The sequence below is a fragment of the Homo sapiens genome, chromosome 1 (genome assembly GCF_000001405.40).
Source record: "Homo sapiens chromosome 1, GRCh38.p14 Primary Assembly".
Classification (NCBI taxonomy): Eukaryota; Metazoa; Chordata; class Mammalia; order Primates; family Hominidae; genus Homo; species Homo sapiens.
Window position 1 is genome coordinate 148,988,506 of NC_000001.11, and position 26,839 is coordinate 149,015,344.

Sequence of the window (26,839 nt, forward strand, 5' to 3'; positions counted from 1 at the left end):
CAGTCTATCTCCATAGTTCTTGTTCTTAATTATTATGCCATACTCAATTTAAAAAGTTCTACAAAAGTATGAATTTTTGCTTCAGTGATAAGAATACCTTATATTTGCATAACGCTTACATTTTCACCCAAGGATTTTATGGTCTTATGTTTTAGAGGTTTATTTTTGTGTACTTTGTAGAATTAGATAGCTGATAGAAAATACTTTTCTAAATAAGGGACATCTTGGTATCACCTCCATTTTGTATTGTTCAGAGCCTAGAAACTTCCAAGAACCACAAGTTGAGAACTTTTATTGAAGCCTCAAATAAAAGTTTTTTATAAAATTGCCAGTCTAACATGTAAAACTTAATCTCGAAGAAGCAAGTTAAATGAACAGATTCTTAGCTCCCAGAGAATCTAAAGGCGGCAGGCTATTTTATATTTTATCAAAAAATAAGCAGACGAGTCATCAATATAAAATCATAGGTACCTTAAATTAGAAATTCAAAATATTCCAAGTTAGTTCTGAAGACAGTGTTTCGTTGTGCAGTAAAAGTTTAGAAAAGGGTATCACACAAGAGAAGTTCTCTCATTTATTTAAAAAAATGGAAAATGGTAAAAGATGTCTAATGTCTTGTATGGACCTTGTATGAGATAACTTACTCTTTTATTCCCATATTTTCTATAAATTTTTTAGCTTTACCCCTCAAACATGGGAGAAAAAGTTTCAGCATTTTAATTCAAATTGGTAAAAGGCTGAGCAACCCTTAAAGCTGCCATAATGGAAGAAGACTGTGAGCTAGCTTAAAAAAGAGAGAATGAAGGGGAAGAAACAAAACCCCTGTGTGGCAGAGTGTCGAGATGAGATGAGCATTTATTTGTCTCCGTCGAATTCCTTATGAAGCCAGAACCATAGCATCCTGCTCTTAAGTGAAATAAGATGGAGCATTATCCAAGAATGCAGACGTGGCACCAGAAAGGCTGCCAAAGATAAGTGGAGGGCAGAAAGTGTCAGATAAAAACCTTCAAGACCAGTGATAGTCACCCTTTCCAATTCTCGCTTCTGGAACCTGGCAGGAATGGTCCTGGGATGTGGGCCCAGCCTGACTCCACAACCCAGCAACAATGGTAGGGGATGAGGATCCTGACCTCATAGAGCTGTGCTTTCTTCAACTACAGGATCCTTCTCTAGCCCCATGTTCAAAAGAGAAACAATGTGAACAGTCTGTTTTTTGTCACTGAGTGAGACAATTCATTTCCTTTGCTGGAAAAACATAAAAGATTGTGATCGCTACTGTTGTACAGGGAAAGATTTTCCAAAGTAAGCATAACATGATGTGGGTGTCCTAGGTAAATTAGTATCCTGGTTTTCAGTAGGTTTTTAAAGCAGCCAAAGATTAGGGAATGTGTCCATACACCTCTACTCAGCTAGTATCCTGAGTGAGATGGTTTCTGGGGTTGGTTTGAATGAGTAAGTATTGGAAATAACTCTTGTACACTGTCTGCCACAGACCTCTAAAGATGCTAAGTGGTAGAGGTGGTAGAGGCTTCACTGAACAGGACCCTTCCTTGATCCAAAGTTAACATAAAGTTCATGGTGTAGATGAGGAAACCTAAGCTGTTATCACAGCATACTTACTACCTCTTAGCACTTCCATGAGATCAGCCTGGGCCATTGCAAATATATAGATGTGAACTGCCCCCTCAAACATGGGAGAAAAAGTTTCAGCATTTTAATTCAAATTGGTAAAAGGCTGAGCAACCCTTAAAGCTGCCATAATGGAAGAAGACTGTGAGCTAGCTTAAAAAAGAGAGAATGAAGGGGAAGAAACAAAACCCCTGTGTGGCAGTGTCGAGATGAGATGAGCATTTATTTGTCTCCGTCGAATTCCTTACGGAGATAAGGTAAGCCCCTTATCTGTATTGGGTAGTGAATGCTCATGATTCAAGCAGAGCCTTTCATGCCTGGATGTCTGAACTCAACAGAAGGTTCTTTGGTCTTGGAGGAAGAAGCAAAGATAAAGATCAGATTTGTCACCAGAAGGAAAAGTGAGTGGCTTCTGTCTAAGAGTCCAGAGTCTTGACTTACTGGCGCAGCTCTAGTGAGGGCTAGTTGTGTAACCTTGGACTCACCACGTAATCTCTTAGAGGTCCAGGTTAATCAGTGGTCAGAAGTGGAGTTGTAACTGGTTGGTTGCCGAGGCTAGGATCAGAACAAGATTTCAAGATTCTTAAGTTGGGGAGGTTCTATAAGACACAGTGAGTGTCACAGTAAATTTTCTTTGACAAATTAACCATAATAAATTTCTACACTTCCTGAAAAATACAGTATATAAAACATAGCTCTTGGTCTTAAAATGTATGAACAGTCTTAATTTTAATCAATATAAGGAGGAAGACACACCCTAGATTTGTGCTGTCCAATAGGGTAGCCACTAGCCACATGCAGTCATTTAAATATAAGTAAATTTAAATAAAATTTAAGATTCAATGCTTTGAAATGTGAGCCATACTACCCACATTTCAAAGCTCAATAGCCATATATGACTGTGTCCACTGTACTGGGCAACACTGGCACAGAACATTGCTGTCATTGCAGAAAGTCCTCTTGGTCAGTGCTGCCTTAGACCTTTGCCCATACCACAAACTGCAGCTACTTGTACCTTAGAGCAAGGTGTAGATGTTTGGGCCCTAGAGTGGCTGTGTCCATCTCTGGAGAATGAAAGGATGGGTTAAATCCCACGGGGATAAAGCAGTGCAAGAAACCCTTCAGGCAAAGGGTGTCTGCATAGAATAAGAGTTTGAGAGAGGTGAGGAGGAAGGGAGGTTAGAGGAAGAAATTAGGGAACAACTGAATCCTTTGGTGTCTTGAATCTTGACTAGACCTGAACCTTACTAGGACACAGGACCCCCAGAGGGAAGTTCCTCAGAGAGATTGTCACCCTATGCACAACTGATCCCAACAATAGATACCTCTGAGAGATTCAGGGCAGCTCTAATCTCCAGGCACTCAGTGGTGGGGAAAGGGTTAAGCATGTTGGACTCATATTATGGAAGAGAAAGTTTTTATGTAGCCAGGCAGTGGGGAATAATTCAGGCTTTCTTGACATTCGAGTGGGGTAACCAGTGCATCCGACAGTCGGCTCCTTAGAAATGGGTCTGTGCAGGCAAAGTCAGCTTATGTTGTGAGGCTCAGGCTTGAGTATGAGTAAGAAAGTGTCTGTGATACAAAAAGTTCTATTTTTCTTTCCAGCCCTGCTGGCTAGGGAGAATTTCTGCCCCATGTATATGGAGAAAGGAAGAAATCAGAGTCAGCGGGCAAAAAGAGTATAATTTAACCTGCTGTCTGGAAGCCATCTGTGAAGGGAATCACTTTTCTTTTCTGGACTTGTTTCCAGGTGCAGCTGCAGGGGATGACACCGAAGATACAAGCACTGAGTTCACTGACAGTATTGAGGAGGAGGCTGCACACCATAGTCACCAGCAAGTAAGTCAGTGTCAGGGTCTGGGACTTCCAGGGTGGACAGCACACAGCCCTTCTGAGGTCTGATAGTCTCCTGCAGCCCTTGCGGACTTAGTGAGAAGATATCTTTTTACATAAACTACTTCTCAGTCATCTTCCTGTTCTCCTTGAACTTCCCAGCTGCCTTTCCAACCCATATCTTCACTCCATTTTTCTCTCCAATCCACCCTTTGGTTTGTATTGTATCTCTTTCTTCTGCTTCCTTCCCCCTCCTACCCACCTTTGCCCCTATTTATTCTCTGTAGCTATAGCTTCAGAAGCATTTTTACTTGCAAGACGATGGACACATTCCCCTTGGGCTTTTTGTAACTGAAACGCACCACAGAAGACAGGGAGTCATCGAAGGGCTGCTCGGGGAGGTGGCAGGGCGGAGGACCTGCTTGGGAAGAAACTCCAAGAAGATTGGAATGCTTCCAAAGCAAGAATCTTTCTCAGTGAAATCTCATTATACAAAGAGAACCTTATGCAACCTGACAAACCACTGAGGTCATGGTGACTCAGTGATCAGCAGATGGTACTTCAACAGCAATCCCCTGTCAAACCTCAGAACTTGAGGCTGAAACATTGCTTCCACCCACCATCAGTGAAGATGTAACTAGCATGTTACAAGAGTGAATAATCTGGACTTCAGAGATTAAGTCACCAATAGTGATCTCACAAGCACTCACCGGAACTCCTATAATGTCTCCACTTTGTCCATGCCATTTAGCAATCTCATCTCCTAAATGGACTGTGCCTATGATTCTTAAGGAGAAAGTGAATCATTGGTAGATATCCTGCACAAGCAGCTGGACTTTCCAGTAATAGCTTTCTTGGGGCTATTAGGAAAATTAAACAAGAAATGAGGCTTTCTGGGTCTGCCTGTATGTCTTCTGCATAAGACAAAGAAGAGACATCGAATCAACCAATAAGAAGAGCCCAAATAAGCATCCTCAAATCTTTTGGGATTTGGCACTTGGGGACATGAGTAGTTGTCTGGGATACGTCATATTCTCAACAGTTTCTTTGTAGTAGTAGGATCACCTTCTTATAATAGGATCACCTTCTTGTTGCTATAGCTGTACCCGACCTTCCCTTCTCCCTTGAGTGCTTGCATGAGCTCCACTTTTCCTTTTGCTTGAACAGCTTCTCCTGAGTCCTCCTTACCGATGGTTGTGACTTTAATTATATACATCTCTGTCCCTCCAGACAGATCCCTCTGTCCTCACTCTCTGATTTCATTGAGGATCTTGGGTGAGAGAGAGGGACCTGCAGGATGAACAAATGTCTACTCTAAGACAGCTAGATTGGGAGGTTGGCTGGTCACTGATGGTTATAATGACTGTGGGACAGGATTAACTTCAGAATAAATGAACAGGAGACACAGATATGAAGAAAGTTTCTGATTGATATGGTCTGAAGTACTCCTGGTATTGCAAGTCATTTGCTCTAATTCTCAATTGTAGGCAAACTGATTTGTAAATTTGCTTCTTCAGCCTTCTTTCCTGTAGCCTAGCATGGAGAATCTGACCAGACCCCATTTTGAGAAGGTCAGCCTACACTGGAATGAACTTTTTACATTAGGGCATTTGTATTTCCCTCACAATACTTGCCACATTACTTGGCATAGGAGAGATGCTTAGTGTAATTATAAGTTAACAAGCCTTTGGATCAGGGCTTGACTCATGATAGACAAAGTATATGCCTGCTGGATGGAAGAATCTCTTGGGCGAGCACCATTTTTCTTTCCATCACCTTTCCTTGAAAATATATCTTCAGCTTTGGGTAGGAGGAATCTTGGTGTATGAAATCATTGCAAATTTACTTCATCTTTTCTGGAGTTTGAAGTTGTGACTCTCCTGCTACCAATTAAATAAAGCTTACTTTGCCATAACTGTTTTGTGTCCAGATTCTCAAAATTTGTTTGCTTGTTTCCAGGAAAATGGTCCCTTAAAGGTAGATTTTGAGCTTCTCCTTGTTATGTCCTTGGAAGGTAAATTTTTGCCTGACACCAAGTTCCCTTCCTACTCCAAGCATTCATATGCTTTTCCTAACAGACACATCCCACCTTGTCTTTCTTCCAAGGTGAGAATCACCTTTTGGCCAATACAAGTTGCTTGCTCCTTATGTTTTGGACTCAGCCACCTCAGGAAGCCTCAAGTCTGGCCATGATAGTAATTTTCCCTAGATTATCTCCCACAAAATTCTATTCTCAAGCAGATGTAAGATCTATAATAAATACCTATGAAATTGCTGTGAAAGAAACTAGAGTAATCAACCATTGCATTTTTTATGTGAAGTTTTGTAATGGAGAAAAAGTTAATCAAGAATAAAGATTCAGGCCCAGGTAGTGTGCATCTATAGTTGCAGCTACTCAGGAGGCTGAGGCAAGAGAATCTCTTGAGCCCAGGAGTTCAGGGCCAGCCTGGGCAACATAATGAGACCCCTACCTCTTAAAGAAAAAAAATCAAGATTCAAATATGAAGAACAGACGTTAGTAGACAAAGTGTGATAAACTTGAAAAAAGCTATTTTAAAAAAATAGTTATTTTTGATTGACAAATCGTAATTGTATACATTTATGGGGTATATGATTATATATATATATACACACAAACAATATGGAATGATTAAACCAAGCTAATTACATATTCATAAACTTACCTACCTACCATTTTTGATGGTGAAACATTGAAAATTTACTCTTATTTTGAAATATACATTTTATTGGCTATAGTCACCCTGCTATGCAATATATCTTAAGACCTATTCTTTTTGTCAATACTTTTGATCAACAATTCCCCCTACTCTCCCTCCCCACTCCACCAGCCTCTAGTAACCACCATTCTACTCTTTGCTTCTATGAGTTCAACTTCATTAGATTCCACATATAGGTGAGCCTATGTGGTATGTGTGCCTGGCTTATTTCACTAAGCATAATGACCTTCAGATTCATTCATGTTGTCACAAATGACAGGAGCTCTCCCCCAACATTTTAAGGTTAAATAGTATTCCATTGTGTATTATCTGCCACATTTTCTTTACCCATTTATCTACTGATGGACCTAGGTTGGCTCTACATCTTAACATAAATTATGAATAATGCTGTAATGAACATGAGAGTGCAGATATACCTTTAACATATTCATTTCAGTTCCCTTGGATATATACCCAGAAATGGGATTACTGGATCATAGGGTAGATTCTATTTTTAGGTTTTTGAGGAAACTCCATACTGTTTTCCACACCAGCTGTACTAATTTACATACCTATTCACAATGTCTGTGTTCCGTTTCCTCTGCATTATCTCTAACATATCATTCACCTTTTTGATAAATGCCACTCCAACAGGTGTGAGATGATATTCATTATGGTTGTAATTTGCATTTCCCTAATGATTAGTGATGCTGAGCATTTGAGAAAAGCTAATTTTTAATGCCTTAATGTTGAGAACTGACTTAACATTGGGACAGATACGAAGCAATAGGGTAAAAGCAAAACAATGTCATTCAAACAGGATATCAGATTTGCACAGAGGCCTTTGTGGGGCAGATGGGAACCCAGCACACAAAAAGTTGAATTATATGAAGCAATATCACAAGTGAGTTAGGAAATGTGGAAAAAAAAACCAATAAGACAGATATAATTAAAAATAGACCTAATGGATTCACACTATCACTACAAATACTGGAAGCCCTGGGGTTTCATTTGGGGGAAAGAAATACTTGCTTTCATACATGATCAAAACTAATGAAAAGGCTAGATCCTGAGTTACTTTTCAGGCATTTACATTTAAAACTTAAAGTTACATATGTATACATGTGCCATGCTGTGCTGCACATTATGCACATGTACCCTAAAACTTAAAGTATAATAATAATAAAATAAAAAAATAAAAAATAAAAAAAGAAATAAAAAATAAAAGTTGTATATATGTAAAAAAAAAAAAACCTTAAAGTTAGCCAAAGAAAGTCCACTTTGAGATGGAAATATGAAAACCCAAATTAGCCTGGGGAAAAATGAGATCCCTAGGCAATGTTTGATTTTCTCACTTTAAAGTGGGAAATTAGATCAGATGTACCTTAAGGTTTTTCTGGTGTTAACATTCATGGTCCATAATTTTTTCTTTTTAAAGAAAATAGGTGTATTGAAACCAATAGAACAAGATAACATATATCCAGAAGGCACTTTAATAATGGGTAAACTTCATTAAAGTTAGACATTATTTTTAAGCAGAAGGAACCCTTAAGGCCTAGAAAAGAATAATGCTGTGCCCACACTCAAGACTAATGGCAAAGTGTGTTTTAGTTAAGTTACTCGGAAAGAGTTTATATAGAATGACAACATCACATAGTTTAAATAAGGGATGGGATTGTAAGCTTTCAGAAGTGGTTTTATTTGGTCCCCCTTCCTTTATTTTGTCACAAATGCTGGGGGCACATATGGAGATGGCCACCAGCCTGATTAAGCCTGCCAGCAGAGTCTTAGAGACAGACATTCCCAGGAGCCTCCCAAATCTCAGGCTCACAAAGTCCAAGTAAGATTGGGTGCCTGGGACTTGAGTGGCTTTGTCTAAGGATCTTTCTTCTTTGACCTGGGTGCGCATGTCTTCACAACCTCAACTGCTATGCTACTGAACACCATTGCACATGCATACTGTGAATCGACCCTACCACAAACCTGTGACCTACATTTGAACATACTTTGTTACGGGGAATAGCAAAAGTCAGTGGCTTCGCACCAACCCCAGCAGCTCTGTCAGTCGTTGATCCATATAAGCTGTTCTGGGCCCTGCTCTCTTCAATGTATTGGTGACCTGAATGGAGATATAAAGCATATAATTAATTCTACAAGTTATCCCCAATCACTTGTAGTGGGGGCCACTACATGATTTGTGGAAATGCACATCAAATATTTGGATGACTTGGATAATTGGGGAATGATTCAGTATAGCCAGAATGAATTTATAAGTGACAATTACAAGTCACAATATTTGTAGAGATAAAAGAAAACAACATGACTCAGCAACAGCTGTGGGGGAGGGGTGGAAAATTCAGAGGCCAAAATTGACCCAAAGTTAAGTAAAAGCTCCAAATGCTGCCACTGAGAAGAAAAAGAAGCCAATGTGACATTGGGACATATTAAGATTAATATTGGACAGACAGGCAGGAACTCCTTGTACTAAAGTAATTAGTCATATGCTAAGTAGATTATCATACTCAGATTTTGATTTCTACACTTTTAAGAGCGTGGGAAAAGACCAAAGATAAGCCCAAAATGAACAATAACAAAGTCTAAAAGTTAACAAATTCCCATTTGAGCAAAGGCCATAAGATCTGCTTTAATTAAAACATTGATGAATAACTTCAAGAGTGTCCTCAAGAAATAGAAAGGTGCTGGGCAGTTGTTCCTGCCTCTGTTTCTTCCACATGCTGAGATTTGTAGAGAGAGTTTGTCTGGCAGCATCAGCACAAAGATAATAACCAAAAAGTGAGGTTGGCTGCTTGGCAGGATGGCTTCACCTCCATCTCCCAGTAGCTGCGGAGTGTGATCCTTCTGCTGCCAATGAAATAGTTGGTGTTGTCTTCCCTGTCGCTCCACCTTATTCTAATTCTGTAACTGTGTCTGCCGACTGTTTCCCCAGTGCCCTGAGTCCTCCCTCTCAGCTGTCCTTGAGGGAGTTGGAGTTACAGGCAGGGCCTTAGGCTTTGCGCCCTGATATCTTAAGCCATCATCTCCCGCCATCCAGGACTCAAGTGTTGCAGAGCTGATGAAGCTTCCTGACTTGTGAGAAAACTCGCAGGGCTCTGTCTCCTCAGGAAGAGAAAGAATCACCGTATTCACACCCTCCAGTCCTGTTTCAACCTCGTTTGTTTGCATTTGTTTTAATTTCTTATGTGCTTTTCTCCCTCACCATCTCTGGATTCTCCTCTTCTCCATGGGGAAATTCCTCCTGCTCATTTTGTGTGTCCTTCCCACCCAAACCAGTCCCCAGGGCCCTTATGCCTGACTAAGGAGGTTCTGGTTAGGGAGTTTATTTTAGATCTGCTTTTTTTGTTTGTTTTTGTTCTCATTTAAAACTGCCTTTGCAATCTCATGTTTCTCTTGGGTCCTCTTTAATGGCCTAACTTCTTCAAACCATGATTTTCTTTTAGCTTGTCAAGGTGGCTTTGGAGAAAAGTCTGGCAACTGTGGAGACCCAGAACCCATCTTTTTCCCCTCCTTCTCCGATGGGAGGGGACAGTAACAGGTGTCTTCAGGAAGAAATGCTCCACCTGAGGGCTGAGTTCCACCAGCACTTAGAAGAGAAGAGGAAAGCTGAGGAGGAACTGAAGGAGCTAAAGGCTCAAATTGAGGAAGCAGGATTCTCCTCAGTGTCCCACATCAGGTAGGACATTCTTCCCAGGGAAGGGGAGCTTGCAGGTCATGAGGCACCACAGCCAAGGGGTGCCTATCCCAGGCTCCATGCATTAATATTTCTACAAATTCTTTAGATAAAAGTAAGTAATATTGGCTAATGGTAATCACTTTCTGTTATTCAAATAATCCTGGTCTTAATTCAGTATAACAGTGCCCACTATTATTGTGCATCTGCCAGTCATACATATGACAGTCATGGTGGAAACCTCCTTGTTACATGACCAGTATTGCTGTTTTTAATTGACCAAAACGTATAAGGAATCCCTGCTACCTAATATGTCTCACTGCTGTATACAGAACCAGAACAGTTCACGAAGGAGGAGGAATTTTTTTTTTTTTTTTTCGTTGAGATAGAATCTCGCTCTGTCGCCCAGGCTGGAGTGCAGTGGCAAGATCTTGGCTCACTGACTGCAAGCTCCACCTCTCGGGTTCATGCCATTCTCCTGCCTCAGCCTGCCGAGTAGCTGGGACTATGGGAGCCCGCCACCACGCCCGTCTAATTTTTTCTTTTTGTATTTTTAGTAGAGACGGGGTTTCACCATGTTAGCCAGGATGGTCTCAATCTCCTGAACTCGTGATCCCCCCGCCTCAGCCTCCCAAAGTGCTGGGATTACAGGAGTGAGCCACCGCACCCGGCTGGAGGGTTTGTGTAGAGGCCCCTCCCTCTCCTCTCAGCTCTCACTCATAAGTCCTTCAATCATAGAGTATCAATTTTAATCATCTCTGCTGCTTTAGTAATTTTACAAAAATAGCAGGTAGCTCATTGATTGGTTAGATTGGCCACTCTGTCTTTGATGGCTTTTTGTCAAAAGCTCCTTGGAGAACATGCTGATACTGTAGGGCTGATCCATTTATTCATTCACTCCCAGGACTATAATCATCACTGCCTGTTTAAAGTACAGCTGTATGACTTCTAAATCATGCCCTGTTGTTTCCCTGCATGTTACATACCACTTAAATTTCCCTGAATAATGTTAGCACTTTGAAAAGGGCCCAGGCATCTAGCCTCATGTCGTTGTTTCATAGCTGAGGAAACTCAGGCCTAGAAAGTTTCAAGTGACTTGCTCAAGGTTGCATAATATCTGTGGCTCCCAATTTCTAACGTCTAAACCTTGCTTCTATACTACATACTTTGTCAAACAATTTTTAAAAAATTCTTGTGATTGTTCTAAGTGCTGATTCTTTTGCTCTGAATTATCATAATAACTTTTTCCTTAAGTTCTACTTAAAGCATATTATTTTACTTAAATTTTTGTATGTGTAAACTTAATTGAGTTGTCATGGGTAAGAACAGTACATCTCTTTTGATTCTATTGTTGAACCTACAATCAAACCATCTATAGCTATCCCTGTGGATTATTTTCCTTTGTCCTCAGAATTACTAACCTGAAACTCTGATTTGTTCAACCCTCCACCCAACCTACAGAATCACTTATACTGTAGAAGGTAGAATCTAATGCATTGTTCTTCCTTTCAAGAAGGTTTTGTTGAGTTTTTCTTTTATTTGTTTGTATTTAAAAATATCAGTTTTTTTTAATATGAAGTTAGAACATAATATTAAATATTCTTTTCCATATACACATGCGCCCTCTTTATCCCCTTTCCACATCCCAGTTTTGGTAAAATACCTATCCCCTTTTTCTTTATTGAGAAACTATCTCACAGATTGTCTGTATCCTATGTCCTATTTTCCTCCCAGAAACACACCAGATAAGCTCTGCTGTAGGTTCCAAGACTCCTGGATTCTGAGAAATTCAATCTAGGTGCATAGCCCACTGCTGATCCTTCAAGTTGTGAATTACCCATTTCCTGTGCATCCTCTAGCTCAGGGGTTCTCAGTTTAGCATGCTTAAGAATCACCTGTGGACTGGGCATGGTGGCTCATGCCTGTAATCTCAACACTTTGGGAGGCCAAGGCAGGCGGATCACCTGAGGTCAGGAGTTCGAGACCAGCCTGCCCAACATGGTGAAACCCCTTCGCTGCTAAAAATACAAAAGTTAGCTGGGCGTGGTGGCACGTGCCTGTAGTCCCAGCTACTCGGGAGGCTGAGGCAGCAGAATTGCTTGAACCCAGGGGTGGAGGTTGCAGTGAGCCAAGATCTCACCACTGCACTCCAGCCTGGGTGACAGAGTGAGACTCTGTCTCAAAAAAAAAAAATAAATAAATAAAAATTAAAAAATCACCTGTGGAACTTAAGTAAAATGTGGATTCATAGGCCTTAGCTCTACAGCTTTTTAAACAAGCACCTTATGGGATTCTGCTGTTGGTATTTCTTAGGTCTGCAGCTAGTACAGCAGGGATTGAATGACTTCCCTGTTAGACCCTGAGCTAGCCATACCGTATATGCAATTTCATTTAAGCATCTGCTAACTCTACTAGGTAAGTGTTATCATCCTTATTTTATATAAAAGGAAACTGAGGCTCAAAAAAGTTAAGTGAATAGACTTGTTACAGCCATGTTTGCTTCCACTCAACCCTAGTATGAGTTTGTTGTTGTGGAAAGAATTTATCTGGAATGTCTTGGTGCAAATTAGCTGTTTTGGTCAATTTTATTTCTTCAACAAATATGAATGATTTATGTGGCAGGCACTTGTGTAGGTACTGGGGATATGGGATGAATAGGACAGACACAGTCCTGCTCTCAAGAAGGTTATCTCTATCACGTGAGCCAGACATAAAGCAAACAATTATCTAAGTACATTTTGATTATATTAATAGTTCTGATTAGTGTTATTTATTTATTCTGTGTTCCTAAGTCCCAATGGTTTGAAACTGACTGATGATAAATAATAGAACTGTAAAATTTATAACAATAAATTTGTTACAGAAAAGGTCTTATTTTTTAACAGTGTAAGTACTCTGGTTTATTCCAGAGGCTACTAAAAATTAGAACATATGAGGCTATGGGGCACAAGTAAAGAAAACTAGCCTGCATGTCTTGAGTCCAAGGTTTCTAGTGATGGTGCTGCCACCAAGAAGCTGTGGAAGTTTGGGCAAGTCTCTTACTTTTCCTGAGCCTTGGCTTTCTTGTATATAAAATTAGGGGGCTGTGGTAGGTCTCAGGTTGCTTCATGCTCTGGGGTAAGTCTGAGTTAATTGCGGGCTGAGATGTTGGTAAGAGGTAGTATTAGGAACTGTTGTGAGGACCAGACCTAGCCCTCAATTAAGTGTGTTTCCTGCAGGAACACCATGCTGAGCCTTTGCCTTGAGAATGCGGAGCTGAAAGAGCAGATGGGAGAAGCAATGTCTGATGGATGGGAGATCGAGGAAGACAAGGAGAAGGGCGAGGTGATGGTTGAGACTGTGGTAACCAAAGAGGGTCTGAGTGAGAGTAGCCTTCAGGCTGAGTTCAGAAAGCTCCAGGGAAAACTGAAGAATGCCCACAATATCATCAACCTCCTCAAAGAACAACTTGTGCTGAGTAGCAAGGAAGGGAATAGTAAACTTACTCCAGAGCTCCTTGTGCATCTGACCAGCACCATTGAAAGAATAAACACAGAACTGGTTGGTTCCCCTGGGAAGCACCAACACCAAGAGGAGGGGAATGTGACTGTGAGGCCTTTCCCCAGACCCCAGAGCCTTGACCTTGGGGCTACCTTCACAGTGGATGCCCACCAAGTAAGTGTGGGCTTAGATTGAGTGAAAAACAATTGGAGAAGGGCTTGAGATGACAGTGTTTACCTTAAAACATTCTCCCATATGAATCAGGAGGTACCAAGAGAAGGGTCTCTTTGTACCACAAACAATAATAGTAATATTCTGCCTACATTCAGCCTTTAGAAAGGCTTTTATAACATAAATATTTCTTGAGTACTTAATTTTTCAGATAACACACTAGGCATTGGCATGGGGCAATAAAACCAATGGCTGCCCCTGAGATACTTAATATTGTCGGGAAAGATGGCACACAAACAGGTAATTTTAACAGGATGTGGTAACTGCTGTAACATAGGGATGCATCAGGTTATGAGGCAGCCCAGACAAGTGGTATGTAATGACATCCCTTATCACTGCCATTTTTTTGTCACAGCTCATCACAGGTGTCTGTTCCTGGGCTTCAGATGGGTTACTGGGATCCTCTTTAGGGAAGGAGCCATGCTGAAGATTCAGTGAAATGGAGAATACAGGGATTCTGAGAGAATCAATGGGACAGAATGTGAGGGGAGATGAGTGGTCTCTTTTTGACCACTGAGAAAACATTTCCTGAGAGCTCCTCTGTAGACTTGATTGGTGCTGTGCTGTGTGCTGTGGATACAGATATGAAGAAAACATTATCCCAGCGCTCCAGGAGCTCCATCTGGAAAGCAAGTCACTGCCAAATGGCATGAGAAGTGCTGTGACAGACTTGAGTAAAGTCCACAGGGTTCAGAAGGGGCGGTGGTCGTCACTGCATGGGGGTGACCTCAGACTGTCCTGATCCCTGTATTGGCCCCTTTCACAGTTGGATAACCAGTCCCAGCCTCGTGACCCTGGGCCTCAGTCAGCGTTTAGCCTACCAGGGTCCACCCAGCACCTGCGCTCCCAGCTGTCACAATGCAAACAACGCTATCAAGATCTCCAGGAGAAGCTGCTGCTATCAGAAGCCACTGTCTTTGCTCAGGCTAACGAGCTGGAGAAATACAGAGTTATGCTTAGTAAGTAACTATGACTTACTAGTAAAGAAAACTAGCCTATATGTCTTATAAGTTCTGTATGTTCTATACCGACATAACGTGGTTATTGAGCACACGAAGTGTGGCTAGTGCAACTTGGACATTTGGTTTTATTTAATTTTAGTTGATGTAGTATAAAGTGGCCATATGTGGCTGCTAACTACCTTATTGGACAGTACAGGTCTAGGGTCTTGGGACTCTAAATTAGTTCAGCTCCATTCAACATTTATTGAACCCCTGCGGATAAAGCACTTGCCAGCTTCAATGGGGCTGCTAGAGATGATAGTGTACAATCCCTGACTTACAGATATCTGGTCCCAACTAAAGCCTGGGTTATCTGAAGGGGAGATAATGGCAAATGCAGGCTCCTCCTTTGGAAAGAAATTCTGCTTCCTGGAGCTGGTGATCTCTTCTCCCACCAGTTCAGAGAAGCTTCTCTCCCACTGTGGATCTGCCTTCCGTGCCTCAAAAGGTTAGGGTATGTGCCATTGAGGCTGAGGGCATATGTGGGAAATTCAGACATTCTGTAACACCTGCTTCTCTTCCCAAGCAGGTGAATCCTTGGTGAAGCAGGACAGCAAGCAGATCCAGGTGGACCTCCAGGACCTGGGCTATGAGACTTGTGGCCGAAGCGAGAATGAGGCTGAACGGGAGGAAACCACCAGTCCTGGTAAGAGCACAGGGTGTGGGGCTCACCCCTCCCTGGAGTCAGCTGTCACATTTGGATGCTGTTGGCCAATTCCACACCTGACAAGTATTGGGGAAGAGGAGGACAGGAGGTTAATAGGAGAAATCTTACCCAAAATGAGGCTGAGTATAAGTTTGAATTTCTACAATTAGTTTTTGGCATACTGCTAATAACAATAATAATATAAAATTCTATCCAACTGATTATTATAGAAATACTAAGGCCTACTTAGAGACCAGATAAGGTTTTAGAAACATGCAAGCCATAAATTAAAAATAATTTTGTTTTGCATTATAAAAAGACTACAACTATAGGGCCACCCACCACATTGAAAACCAGAAGAGAAGAAAAACACAATCTCTCTCATTCTTGAGGCAGTGTAGTGTGGCAGTTAAGAGACAAGATCCTGGGGCCAGACTGGTTGGTTCAAATCCCAGTTTGAAAACTTTCCTATGTCCCAGTTTCTTCATGTGTTAAAATAGTAATAAAGGAACTACCTACCCCATCAGGTACTAAGGTCAATTAAATGAGTAAATTCTTATAAAATGCTTTAGAACAGTGCCTGGCATCTGGTAAAATGCCATGGATTAGTTCTCATTCTGACTACCACTGCCCTAATACACTGATGTTAACATGCTGATATATTTATTTGAAGCCTTATTTTCCTATGCCTATTTTTCATACAGTTGTAACCCAATAAACTTTTAAATTATAGTAAAATTTAAAGAGCATTAAACTTTCAGCATGCAGTAATAGCTTGTCCTACATTCTTGTGGCCATCCTAAATAGATAAGGCCATGTTAATGTCTTAAGAAACACCAGTGTGTGTGGAATGAACACAGGACATTGGAGGATTTGAATTCTGGCTCTGCCATGTGCTAGTTTGAGTGATCTAGAACAAGCTAGTTTACCACCTCTCTTTAAGTTTTGGTTTCCCAGTCAGTAAAATAGAAAGTGATGAAACCTAACTTGTAGGTATAAGGAAGATAAGAAATATTGTATTTGAATGCCTAGTACAGTGTCAGGGTTGAATAAAGTACTACTTCAACTTTTTCCCTAGTAATTATTGTCCTCATGACCAAACCTGCCTCCTCTCAAAGGCAGTGGCCACAACAGCACATCCAACTTTTATTTAGGAAGACATCTTTGTCTTTTTTCAGAGTGTGAGGAGCACAACAGCCTCAAGGAAATGGTCCTGATGGAGGGGCTGTGCTCTGAGCAGGGACGCCGGGGCTCAACACTGGCTAGTTCCTCTGAGAGGAAGCCCTTGGAGAACCAGCTAGGGAAGCAGGAAGAGTTCCGGGTATATGGAAAGTCAGAAAACATCTTGGTCCTACGAAAGGACATCAAAGATCTGAAGGCCCAGCTGCAGAATGCCAACAAGGTCATTCAAAACCTCAAGAGCCGGGTCCGGTCCCTCTCAGTTACAAGTGATTATTCGTCTAGTCTGGAAAGACCCCGGAAGCTGAGAGCTGTTGGCACCTTGGAGGGGTCTTCACCTCATAGTGTCCCTGATGAGGATGAGGGGTGGCTGTCTGATGGCACTGGGGCTTTCTACTCTCCAGGGCTTCAGGCCAAAAAGGACCTGGAGAGTCTCATCCAGAGAGTATCCCAGCTGGAGGCCCAGCTCCCAAAAAATGGACTAGAAGAGAAGCTGGCTGAGGAGCTGAGATCAGCCTCGTGGCCTGGGTAAGGATGGCACTGTTTGGGTACTTTCTTGATTGAAAATGTGTAAGTTCATGCTTGGCGTAGGGTAGCTCAGGCAGTTGGAAGAAAGAACATGTCTGGGTATTCACAGGGACACTGATTTAAATGGTAGATACAGGTCTGCAGAAAAGACAGGTAGGCAACCAGGAGGGCATAGGATGATGTTCCAGTATCTGGGAGATACCGGGTCTCAGGGATTTCCTCTTAGGGATATATTAGTAAAGATGGTATAGTATAGTAGTAATACTGGAATCAGACTACCTACCTCTGGTGCTTACTACCCATGCAACCTTCTTAACCTTTCTGAGCCTTTGTCCTTACCTATTAAATGAGGATGATAAGAGAACCCATCTCAAAGGGTGGATATTAGGTTTAAATGAATTAATACAACTGCTGACCAGGCGTGGTGGCTCATGCCTGTAATCCCAGCACTTTGGGAGGCCAAGGCAGGTAGAACACCTGAGGTCAGGTGTTCGAGACCAGCCTACCCAACACGGTGAAACCCCATCTCTACTAAAAATACAAAGATTAGCTGGGCATGGTGGTGCACACCTGTAATCCCAGCTATTCGGGAGGCTGAGGCAGGAGAATCGCTTGAACCTGGCAGGTGGAGGTTGCAGTGAGCCGAGATGGCACCACTGCACTCCAGCCTGGGTGACAGAGCAAGAGTCTGTCTCGGAAAAAAAAAAAAAAGAATTAATACAAGTGCTTAGAATAGTGCCTAGCATATGTTAAGCTCTCAATGCTATTTGCCATAGTTATAAGTGTTATTGATACTTAGTGTTGAAAACACAGACATTCATCTTGGTGTGTCCTGGTTATCTATTGCTAAGTAATAACCACTCTAAAACTTAGTGACTTCAAACAACACTTTATTATGCTTCATGGTTCTATGGTTTGACTGGGCTCAGCTGGGTGGTTCTCACTTAGGGTCTCTTGTTTTGGGTCCCATCAGTTGATGGTATGAGCGTTTAAATGATGGCCATCATTGCAAAATGTAGTCAGCCACAGTATCGTAACATAGAAGAAATTCAGGCATCAGGTGGTGGTTAAAACAGAAGGCATGAAAGGTTCTATCTAGACTTAGGATGAAATGATGCTAATTATTCATTGAGTAACTGCTGTGAATCTATGTGATACTGGTGCTGTAAGGGATGTAAAATGCAGAACTATGTTTATTCTCACAGACCTTATGATTTATCTAGGGACATATAATTAACACATGTATAACAGTTGAAGAACAGTGACATACTAAATTTTTTTTTGATACGGAGTCACTCTGTCATCCAGGCTGGAGTGCAGTGGTGCCGTCTTGGCTAACTACAACCTCCACCTCCTAGGTTCAAGCAATTCTCCTGCCTCAGCCTCCCGAGTAGCTGGGATTACAGGCATGTGCCACTATGCTCAGCTCATTTTTTTTGTATTTTTAGTAGAGGCAGGGTTTCACCATATTGGCGAGGCTGGTCTCAAACTCCTGACCTTGTGATCTGCCTGCCTTGGCCTCCCAAAGTGCTGGGATTACAGGCGTGAGCTACCACGCCCGGCCCGTACTAAGTTTTTTAATGCAATACTTTATCAGGGTAGAATTTACTCTTAAATACCTCCTATGGCTTATGTGCCAGAATTCAGCTTGGGGGAGTTCCTTAGAGATGTTCTCATAGAAATCTCTACAGAAGCCCCCATAACTCCATAAGTTAGCTTCCACTCTTTCCATACTTACACTTTCCTCTTCTGTCCTGCATTAGGAAATATGATTCCCTGATTCAGGATCAGGCCCGGGAACTGTCTTACCTACGGCAAAAAATACGAGAAGGGAGAGGTATTTGTTATCTTATCACCCGGCATGCAAAAGATACAGTAAAATCTTTTGAGGATCTCCTAAGGAGCAATGACATTGACTACTACCTGGGACAGAGCTTCCGGGAGCAACTCGCCCAGGGAAGCCAGCTGACAGAGAGGCTCACCAGCAAACTCAGCACCAGTAAGTTGGCCACAGGGCTTTGGAATACTCTCAGTCACCCCCACAGTTCCAGCCCCTGGTGGCCACCACATCTCCACTGCAACTTTTTATCCTAAGGTCCTGTTTCTATTTCATTTCCTGGGGCTAATACAGGATCAAGACTGCTCAGTGGGGAGCATGGAGAGGAAAACACAGGGCTGGAGATGCCATGGTTACAACTATAGAAACTTCACCACTAATGGAATGTGACCTGTGGGGCAGGGGCAGCATCTCTCTGATGCTAAGAGGGAGTAGGGGACATGAGATGGAAGGGCTTTGTTATAGGAGGAAGAGCCCTGAACCAAGAACTACAAGACTCAAGCTCTGGCCTGGATGCTGCCACCAACTCGCTAAATGCCTTATCCTTGTGGTGTCTCCATTTATGGCATGGTAATGTGCATGCAGGTACTCCACATATGGATAAAGCGCCATGCTCTTTTATACATGGTTTAGGCACTGGCTGCAGTAGTTCAAGGGCTACATTGGTTATTATTGGGGTCTTCTACTCAGAATTTCCAGCGACTATCCAAGGGAGTAAAGTAGGATCAGACTTGGGAGCCACCCAGCCCACCACCTGGTGGCAGATGCAGAGGTGGGGCAGGGCTTCTTGTCATCTCCTCAGAGACCAGTGCAGGTTCTGCATGAAAGCTGTGGTGGGGCATATGCATTGGGGAGCTAGTCTGCAGCAGGACATGGAGGCTGGAGTGTCCCGCAGGGCAGCTGGGCAAGGGCCTCATGATTAATGGAACAAAAGACATTATAAATGTTTTACCCTGATTTAGGGCAGAGGAAGTCATCATGGTGACCGGCAGGTCAGGGACAGTGGGGTCACTTCTCTAGAGACACAAGCTGAGGTATCCCAGAATAACTGTTCTGGATGCACACATGAAATGCTCACTACTCTGTCTCCAGATAGGCTCCTGCATTTGTAATGCGGGAAGTGGGACCAGCCTAATTTCTTATCGTCTCTTTCTAAATTTGGTTTACAGAGGATCATAAAAGTGAGAAAGATCAAGCTGGACTTGAGCCACTGGCCCTCAGGTAATTCAGAGGAGAATCTGGGAAAGAGATTGGGACCGAGGCCCAAAGGGTCAAGGGTGGCGGCAACTCCACAAATCAAGGGGAATAAAGCAAAGTGCTGAATGTATTGAATTCAGGCATTCATTGAACACCTCACTGTTGTTTTTAACTAAATTCTTTCTTCCCTTTTGGTTGAATCATATTGGCACATTAATTCTCCAGGCTTAGTAACCTAGAAACAGTCTGAGCTAAAAGTGAACTAACTAGGTTTCAAGAGTCTTCTGCCCCACTAAGGGTCCTGCTTTCCTGCTGTGTGTTTAATAAGCAGGATGAGCTTTTTCCAAAGTTGGGTTGACAGCTAATTTAATAGTCACTCAATTGCCCTGGGGGAAAAAAGGAATCATATAACAGGACCTGGTGAAAGAGGCCTAGATGGTGTAGATCACCAGGAGGCTGCAGTGCCTCAGGACCCAGTTCTCAGTGAGTTGCTTCATATAATGATCAATGAAATACGGGCTCAGAGTCCGTTGTAGCCACTAGTTGGGGTTCTTTGTGTCATGCTTGTGTCTCAGACTACATAAATGCTTCTGAAAGTATCTGTAGTGAAGGACACAGTGGTTTTTTTTGTTTTGTTTTGTTTTTATTTCTAATCTATCATAGAAACATATATGGTCTGAATTCAGTTAATTACATGATTCCACTTATCATGCTCTTGGATGTTGGGACAGTGGTTTGTTCTGTGTTTCTCAATGCTTGCTTTCAATTTTTATACTTGTCTTGTTGGAGATGGTAACAAACAGTTCGCAGGCTGCAACTGTTCCAGGGATCATACATTAAGCAGCAGTGCCTTAAAAGGAGGGCTAGCTATGTCTTTGCTTGTCCTCAGCATATTATGTGGCCAGAGCACTAGGTAGCTATTCTCTCTCCATCTACACCCCACCTACACTCCATCCCTAAGCAGAGGTGGGTTATTTCCATAATTATCTGCAGGCATGGTCCCCTTGGCTTACTTGGCTTTTCCTATGAGCCATAGTCAGGACAGGTTGGCTTCGGTGACCTTGGTTTTACCCGTTGTCCCCCTTCTCCCCACCAGGCTCAGCAGGGAGCTGCAGGAGAAGGAGAAAGTGATTGAAGTCCTGCAGGCCAAGCTGGATGCTCGGTCCCTCACACCCTCCAGCAGCCATGCCTTGTCTGACTCCCACCGCTCTCCCAGCAGCACCTCTTTCCTGTCTGATGAACTGGAAGCCTGCTCTGACATGGACATAGTCAGCGAGTACACACACTATGAAGAGAAGAAAGCTTCTCCCAGTCACTCAGGTAGCCTCCACTTTCTGGGTGGTACCATCTTTGTCTAGGCTGAGTGGAGAACTCAGGAAACAGGGCTTATAGCTCCACCATGGTGTGTATCAGGCTGAACATGGCTGTGGGGCCAAGTGCCATGCACAGGCACCAGTGGATCAGGATCTTTGCTCTGCTCCTGACTCTACAAGTTACCTCTGTCACCGTGGCCTCCATGGGCACGTACAAGCTGTTGGGCACAAAGTGAGCCACTGTGGGGAGAGTGAGAAGATCACGGCAGACTCTTCTTCCTTGGTGACTCTGTCAGATAGATCTTCTTTAAGATGGAAAACCTCCTTCATCTCTCCTACAATGATCTTGCTACTTATTCCTGAGCAGTGTTCCCTAAGTATATTTGGGTGTCCACAGATGCTGCTAGTCTTGCCTGATATTTTTGGAGTTGCCATTTTCATGTTTCAGAGCTCAGAGCACCGCTGTCATCCCTAAGGTGGTTTGCCTCACTATAGGAGCTGTCTGCAAGCAAGAAAATGAACACTGCTAACAGTGCTTGTGCTTGGTTCTTTCCCTGAAAGCAAGACTCTAGCCCTGGTACCCCTGGGTAAACATAAGGCCAGGATTCCAGTTCTCTGTAGAACATCATACGTTTTCTTTCATTCATGGATTTTATAGATTCCATCCATCATTCGAGTCATTCTGCTGTGTTGTCTTCTAAACCATCATCAACCAGTGCATCTCAGGGGGCTAAGGCCGAATCCAACAGCAACCCCATCAGCTTGCCAACTCCCCAGAATACCCCCAAGGAGGCCAACCAGGCCCATTCAGGTATGCAACAGCCAATGGGGCAGAAGCTTCATCTCCTCTTTCTCTGCTGCCTGTTTGATTTTTCTTCAACGACAGAGGTTTGGACTGTTAGGGGCCTAAATGCATCAAAACCTAGACAGAATCGAGAAACCATCCTCATTTTCCAGTTGTGTCTGATTTAAGAAAATATTTTAGAAAATAAGTAATCCACATCAGGTTTTGATCTGCATACCAGTTCTGACCAGTAGTTGGCTAATCATTTAAAAAGAAACATTTTTATTGGTTTTCTCTCATTTTATCCTGGGAGCAAAGAGGCAAAATGTTTCTCCCAGGATTACAACAGCCATAGGATGAAAAGAAATTCACATCTGTTGATCCACTGTATGTGTTACCCATTAAATCTGCATGGAGATCCTCTGCAAGAGGTAGTGCTACTTGTAGCCAAGGATGGTGAGAACAGCCTCAGACAAGGTTCTGTTCATAGTACGTTACCATTAATGGATGTATGAATGGATTGGCAGTCCTTGATATGTACATAGTGCATATCTTGGGGGCAGTTAAAGGGGTGCATTTCATTTACAAGTTCAGCTTAGTTGCCGGAGGGTACACTGCTCATTCACAGCCCTGTACCAGGGATGGCAAGAAAAGGCAAACCTTGTCTTCGCCTCCTACCTCCCACCATAGCTGGCTGGCTGCCTTCAGTGTGGTTTGTTGTGAGGTTTGACTTGAGTAGAGGTGCTCCCAGAAAGCACAGTGCTTTCTTCTGCTGCCCTCATTTCCCTGAAAGCAATTCAACTAAAATCTTAAGGAAGAGGAAGTGTTCCAATGCTTCCTGAGCCTGGTTTCAAAGTTTCTAGGCCAGAGTAGGCAGCAGCTGGACCAGAATCATGAGGAAAAGCTGTGCTTCCAGACTTATAGACATCTGCTTAAATGTTGTGGGTTCAAACAGAGCAGTAGGTAAAGAACAGAGGATTTTAAAATCAGAATGCCTCCTCAAAGAATGCCTGGGCTGTGTTACCTGGCAATTTGAGTATATTTGCAGTATTGATCTGAAATGGTGCCAGCACCATTGGGATGTGTTTTAGGATATAATCATTGTCTTCTACATTAGACATTCTCTATGGGTCAGCCTTGGTTTCTGCTCCCTCTCCATTGGCTACCTGCCCTTTAATTGCTTTTAGGGAAGAGGAAACAATTTTAAACATTGAACCTTGCCAGGGTTTCTAAAAACCTGTCTGTAGATGGGCTGCCTAAAGATCACCAGGGAAGACTTTTTTTAAATGTAAATTTCATGTTCCAAGAATTTATAATTCTGTAAGTCTACATTAAGGCCTAGACAGAATCAAGAAGGCCTAAAGAATCTACATATATTAGAAGTTTTTGCTATGTGATTTAAATGCCCAGAAGGATTTGCAAGCCATTTTGTCTAAGCCACTCTACCAAGGCATCTATTTTTAATTTGGTCAATGAACACGTTGATTTGGAATTCTGAAGTTTGTTTCCATCAGAGTCCTGAACTGCATGCACTAGTAATGAAAATTTCCCCACAGCCTTTGTTCACATCTCTCCTACTCAGGATGGGACCTGATGCTGTCAAAGAGGAGTTCTAGGTAGAGAAAGAGTCTTGTCCCAGGGCCAAGGACTGATACATGCTGGGAGCAGAGCCCCAGGGGCCCTTGAAAGCATTCAGGCTCTCTGACTTGTCCATGTCCAGGATTGCTGGGGTGGGGCTCAATAATGCCACCTTACCTTCTTTAGCCAATTGCTTTCAAGATGAACACAGAGGATATATGCAGGATAGCCCTGGCAGGGGAGAAGAGGGAAGGTCAGCCAGGCCAGCCTCTGGTAGCAATGGTCACCCTTGGCTGTCTTATCCTGTACCACACTAGATGATAGCCACTCCGCAGGGTGATGTCTGGTCAGGGAATGCTTTTACCTTCTCAATCTTTTACCCATTCTTTTCTCTCATTTTCTCTTGATGATGTGTCTCTTTTCTCCTTAACTTTCTTTTCCTAGGCTTTCATTTTCACTCCATACCCAAGCTGGCTAGCCTTCCTCAGGCACCATTGCCCTCAGCTCCATCCAGCTTCCTGCCTTTCAGCCCCACTGGCCCTCTCCTCCTTGGCTGCTGTGAGACACCAGTGGTCTCCTTGGCTGAGGCTCAGCAGGAGCTACAGATGCTGCAGAAGCAGTTGGGAGAAAGTGAGCACTTCTGCATTTGTGTGCTTGCGATTGGCAGCCCCACACTGTGTTGCTCTGCATGGCTCGGGCTGGATGGCAGAGTTTAAAAAAACAACACGGGTACACGTTACAAATGTAAGAGGGAGGGAAAGCTCTGTTTGCTTATTTTTTGGAAATGTATTTACTGTTATTTCTGTGGTGTGTATGTCTCATCAGTTAACAGGTAGATATGTTCACGAGGCTCTAGACCTGGTGCTCTCACACTGTAGACAGTGTTGGATACCACCAAGTATGCTGAATCCCTGACAGACTGGTGGACTGCTCATTGGTTGGGGGTGGGAGAGAGATGTTATGCTTTGCCTATGCAGGATGAAGTGGCCAAGAAAAAGATGGCCACATTCAGTGGGCTCCTTTGTGTGGCTATTATGTTTTTCTGCTGTGAAATGCTGTTAATCAAGTTCAGTTCCTGATATCATTAGGTTGGAGCAAAAAGGGTAATGATAGAGGGATTCAGAAGAGGAAATGATGAGCCCCTTTTCCTACTGCACAGGGTTGGTCCCTGCCCTGGGACAGGTGACACGTAGGCAGCTTAGAACCACAGCACCAGCTATGGCATCTGACTGTGAATCCCATCCTCTGACTCCCAAAGATAATTGATCTCATGTAGTTACGTAGACTGTGGACAGTCACCTTTTAGAAAGTGCTTTGATGTATTTGTAGGCTGGATGCTCATCATAAATTTAGTGTGCTGGTGGTCACTGATAGCTTAGAAAAAAATGACAACCTTCACATGAATTTGCTCTTTCATAGCACCTTAGGCACAACAGTTAAAAAGCAGTTTGAATGAACTTAAACTCATTTGTCAGGCACTTTCTGTGCCTGTAAAGAAGCTTAGGTGAGCCAGAGACTGATAGGGTCACCATGCCAGAAGTTTCTAGTGATGCAAGACAACAGCCAAGAATTTGCATCCCCCTCCCTACAGCCCCAAATGTCATGTGGACCAGCATATTTCTTTCCTTCTTCCTCTTTTTTTTTTTTTTTTTTTTTTTTGAGACAGGGTCTTACTTTGTCACGCAGACTGAAGTGCAGTGGCACGATCTCGGCTCACTGCAGTCTCTACCTCCTGGGCTCAAGCGACTCTCCCACCTCAGCCCCCCAAGTAGCTGGGATTACAGGTGTGTGTCACCACACCTGGCTAATTTTTGTATTTTTTGTAGAGACAGGGTTTCGCCATGTTGCCAAGACTGGTCTAGAGCTCCTGAGCTCAAGTGATTGGCCCACCTTGGTTTCTGAAAGTGCAGGGATTACAGGTATGAGCCACTGCACCCAGCTTAGCCTATTTATTTTGTCAACCCAGGAAATGGGTACTTTGTCTAATGCAGGGAACTGTAAAGCTCAGGGAAGTGAAGTTACTTGTTCAAGGTCACTGGTAAGTGGGAGAGATGGGGTTGAATCTGGTCTTCTGCTCCAGGTTTTATGTTTCTGTTATATCTTTTCTACTTAGGATGGCTTTGTCACCATCCTGCTTAGAGTATGGAGCTGAGCTCAGCTGATCAAACTCTGGGGACTCGTTGCAACAATTTTTTCCCTCTCTTTAGAGACCAGTAGGAAGTGCTGCTGTTTCTGACCTAAAACTTGTTATTTTAGCAGTTCTGGCACCAACAATGAATGGGCAACAAATGTGTCCCATGACAAATGGCAAGAGTATTTTCTAGCTTCCATTTCTTTATCTTGCCTCCTTTTCCTTTATCTTTCCACATTTGTCCATTTGTCTTTGCCCAAACGGAAGGATGGAAGGAGAGCACTGTCCATGAAAAAGGGTCTGTTGTTTTGGGTTAAATTGGAATTACATCAAGTCTGAGGCCATTGACCGGAGTTCAAATGGTCCCAGCCTAGATGAGGAAGATTGTAGCCCTTTCTTTCTCCACCTGAAGTCAAGGTCCTCTCCAAGGGACCATTGCTTATACATGCTCATTGTTTGCTTTGAGCCAAGTTTCCGTGTGGACAGTGGTGCATGGTGGCCTCTCAGGTCCCTGGGTTAAAATCTTGTGCAAGAGTCTGTATGGTATCTTTGCATGGTTTAGAGCATGTACTGTGTATTGTGTGGCCAATGGACTGGAACATGAGAATACTGATCATTGTTACTGATAGACTTAAAACCTCACATGGCCTTGATTAAAAAGTAAGCTGACTATCTGCAACCACTGATTTCTCCCTTTGCCTTGTGTTCGGATGGGGTTGAAGGCAGTTTGAAAGAGGTAGGAAATCATGTATTTGTTGCATTCCTTCTAAAATGTAGGTGCTTAAATTTTTAACCTTCTTCCTTAACTAAGTGATCCTAATGAACATCTAGTATTTTGCAAATTAGAAGAGAGACTCATGACAAGACTTCCCAAACTTCTGCCTATTAGAATTACCTAAAATGAATTTAAAACATCCATTGTTCAAGATGTATCCCATATAGACTAAGGCAAAATCTCTGGAATCCAGGAATCAGTATATGTTTCCATACTTTCTCAGGTGATTCCAATATGTACCCACATTTGAGAACCAGCTACAAGTAGGGCTAAAAACTGGCAAGTGGCATTT

The 26,839-nt window shown here is 42.8% G+C and overlaps 1 protein-coding gene across 34 annotated transcripts in view, besides 1 other annotated feature; it reads left to right on the plus strand.

The window, feature by feature from the left end:
• PDE4DIP (phosphodiesterase 4D interacting protein) overlaps window positions 1-26,839 on the plus strand; it is a 224,583-nt gene that overhangs the window by 180,072 nt on the left and 17,672 nt on the right. For 9 of the 34 annotated variants that reach the window (NM_001377392.2, NM_001350521.4, NM_001395300.1 and 6 more), the window contains 11 exons: window positions 3,380-3,468; window positions 9,638-9,870; window positions 13,086-13,521; window positions 14,345-14,537; window positions 15,106-15,225; window positions 16,404-16,932; window positions 18,696-18,931; window positions 19,939-19,990; window positions 21,063-21,286; window positions 21,938-22,090; window positions 24,086-24,271. In NM_001377392.2, the coding sequence (NP_001364321.1) occupies window positions 3,380-3,468; window positions 9,638-9,870; window positions 13,086-13,521; window positions 14,345-14,537; window positions 15,106-15,225; window positions 16,404-16,932; window positions 18,696-18,931; window positions 19,939-19,990; window positions 21,063-21,286; window positions 21,938-22,090; window positions 24,086-24,271 (2,451 nt within the window). Of the gene's footprint in view, window positions 1-3,379; window positions 3,469-3,749; window positions 5,378-9,637; window positions 9,871-13,085; window positions 13,522-14,344; window positions 14,538-15,105; window positions 15,226-16,403; window positions 16,933-18,695; window positions 18,932-19,938; window positions 19,991-21,062; window positions 21,287-21,937; window positions 22,091-24,085; window positions 24,272-26,839 lie in introns of those variants that run through there. The other 25 variants (NM_001395319.1, NM_001395316.1, NM_001395322.1 and 22 more) reach the window with 9 other exon arrangements.
• Window positions 3,335-4,534: an enhancer, noted in NCBI's record as "P300/CBP strongly-dependent group 1 enhancer chr1:144891435-144892634 (GRCh37/hg19 assembly coordinates)". NCBI's record gives its function as "activates an origin of replication core promoter dependent on BRD2, BRD4, P300/CBP, MED14 and CDK7 cofactors, with strong dependence on P300/CBP, by STARR-seq in HCT116 cells {active_cell/tissue: HCT116}" and the evidence as "EXISTENCE:reporter gene assay evidence [ECO:0000049][PMID:35650434]".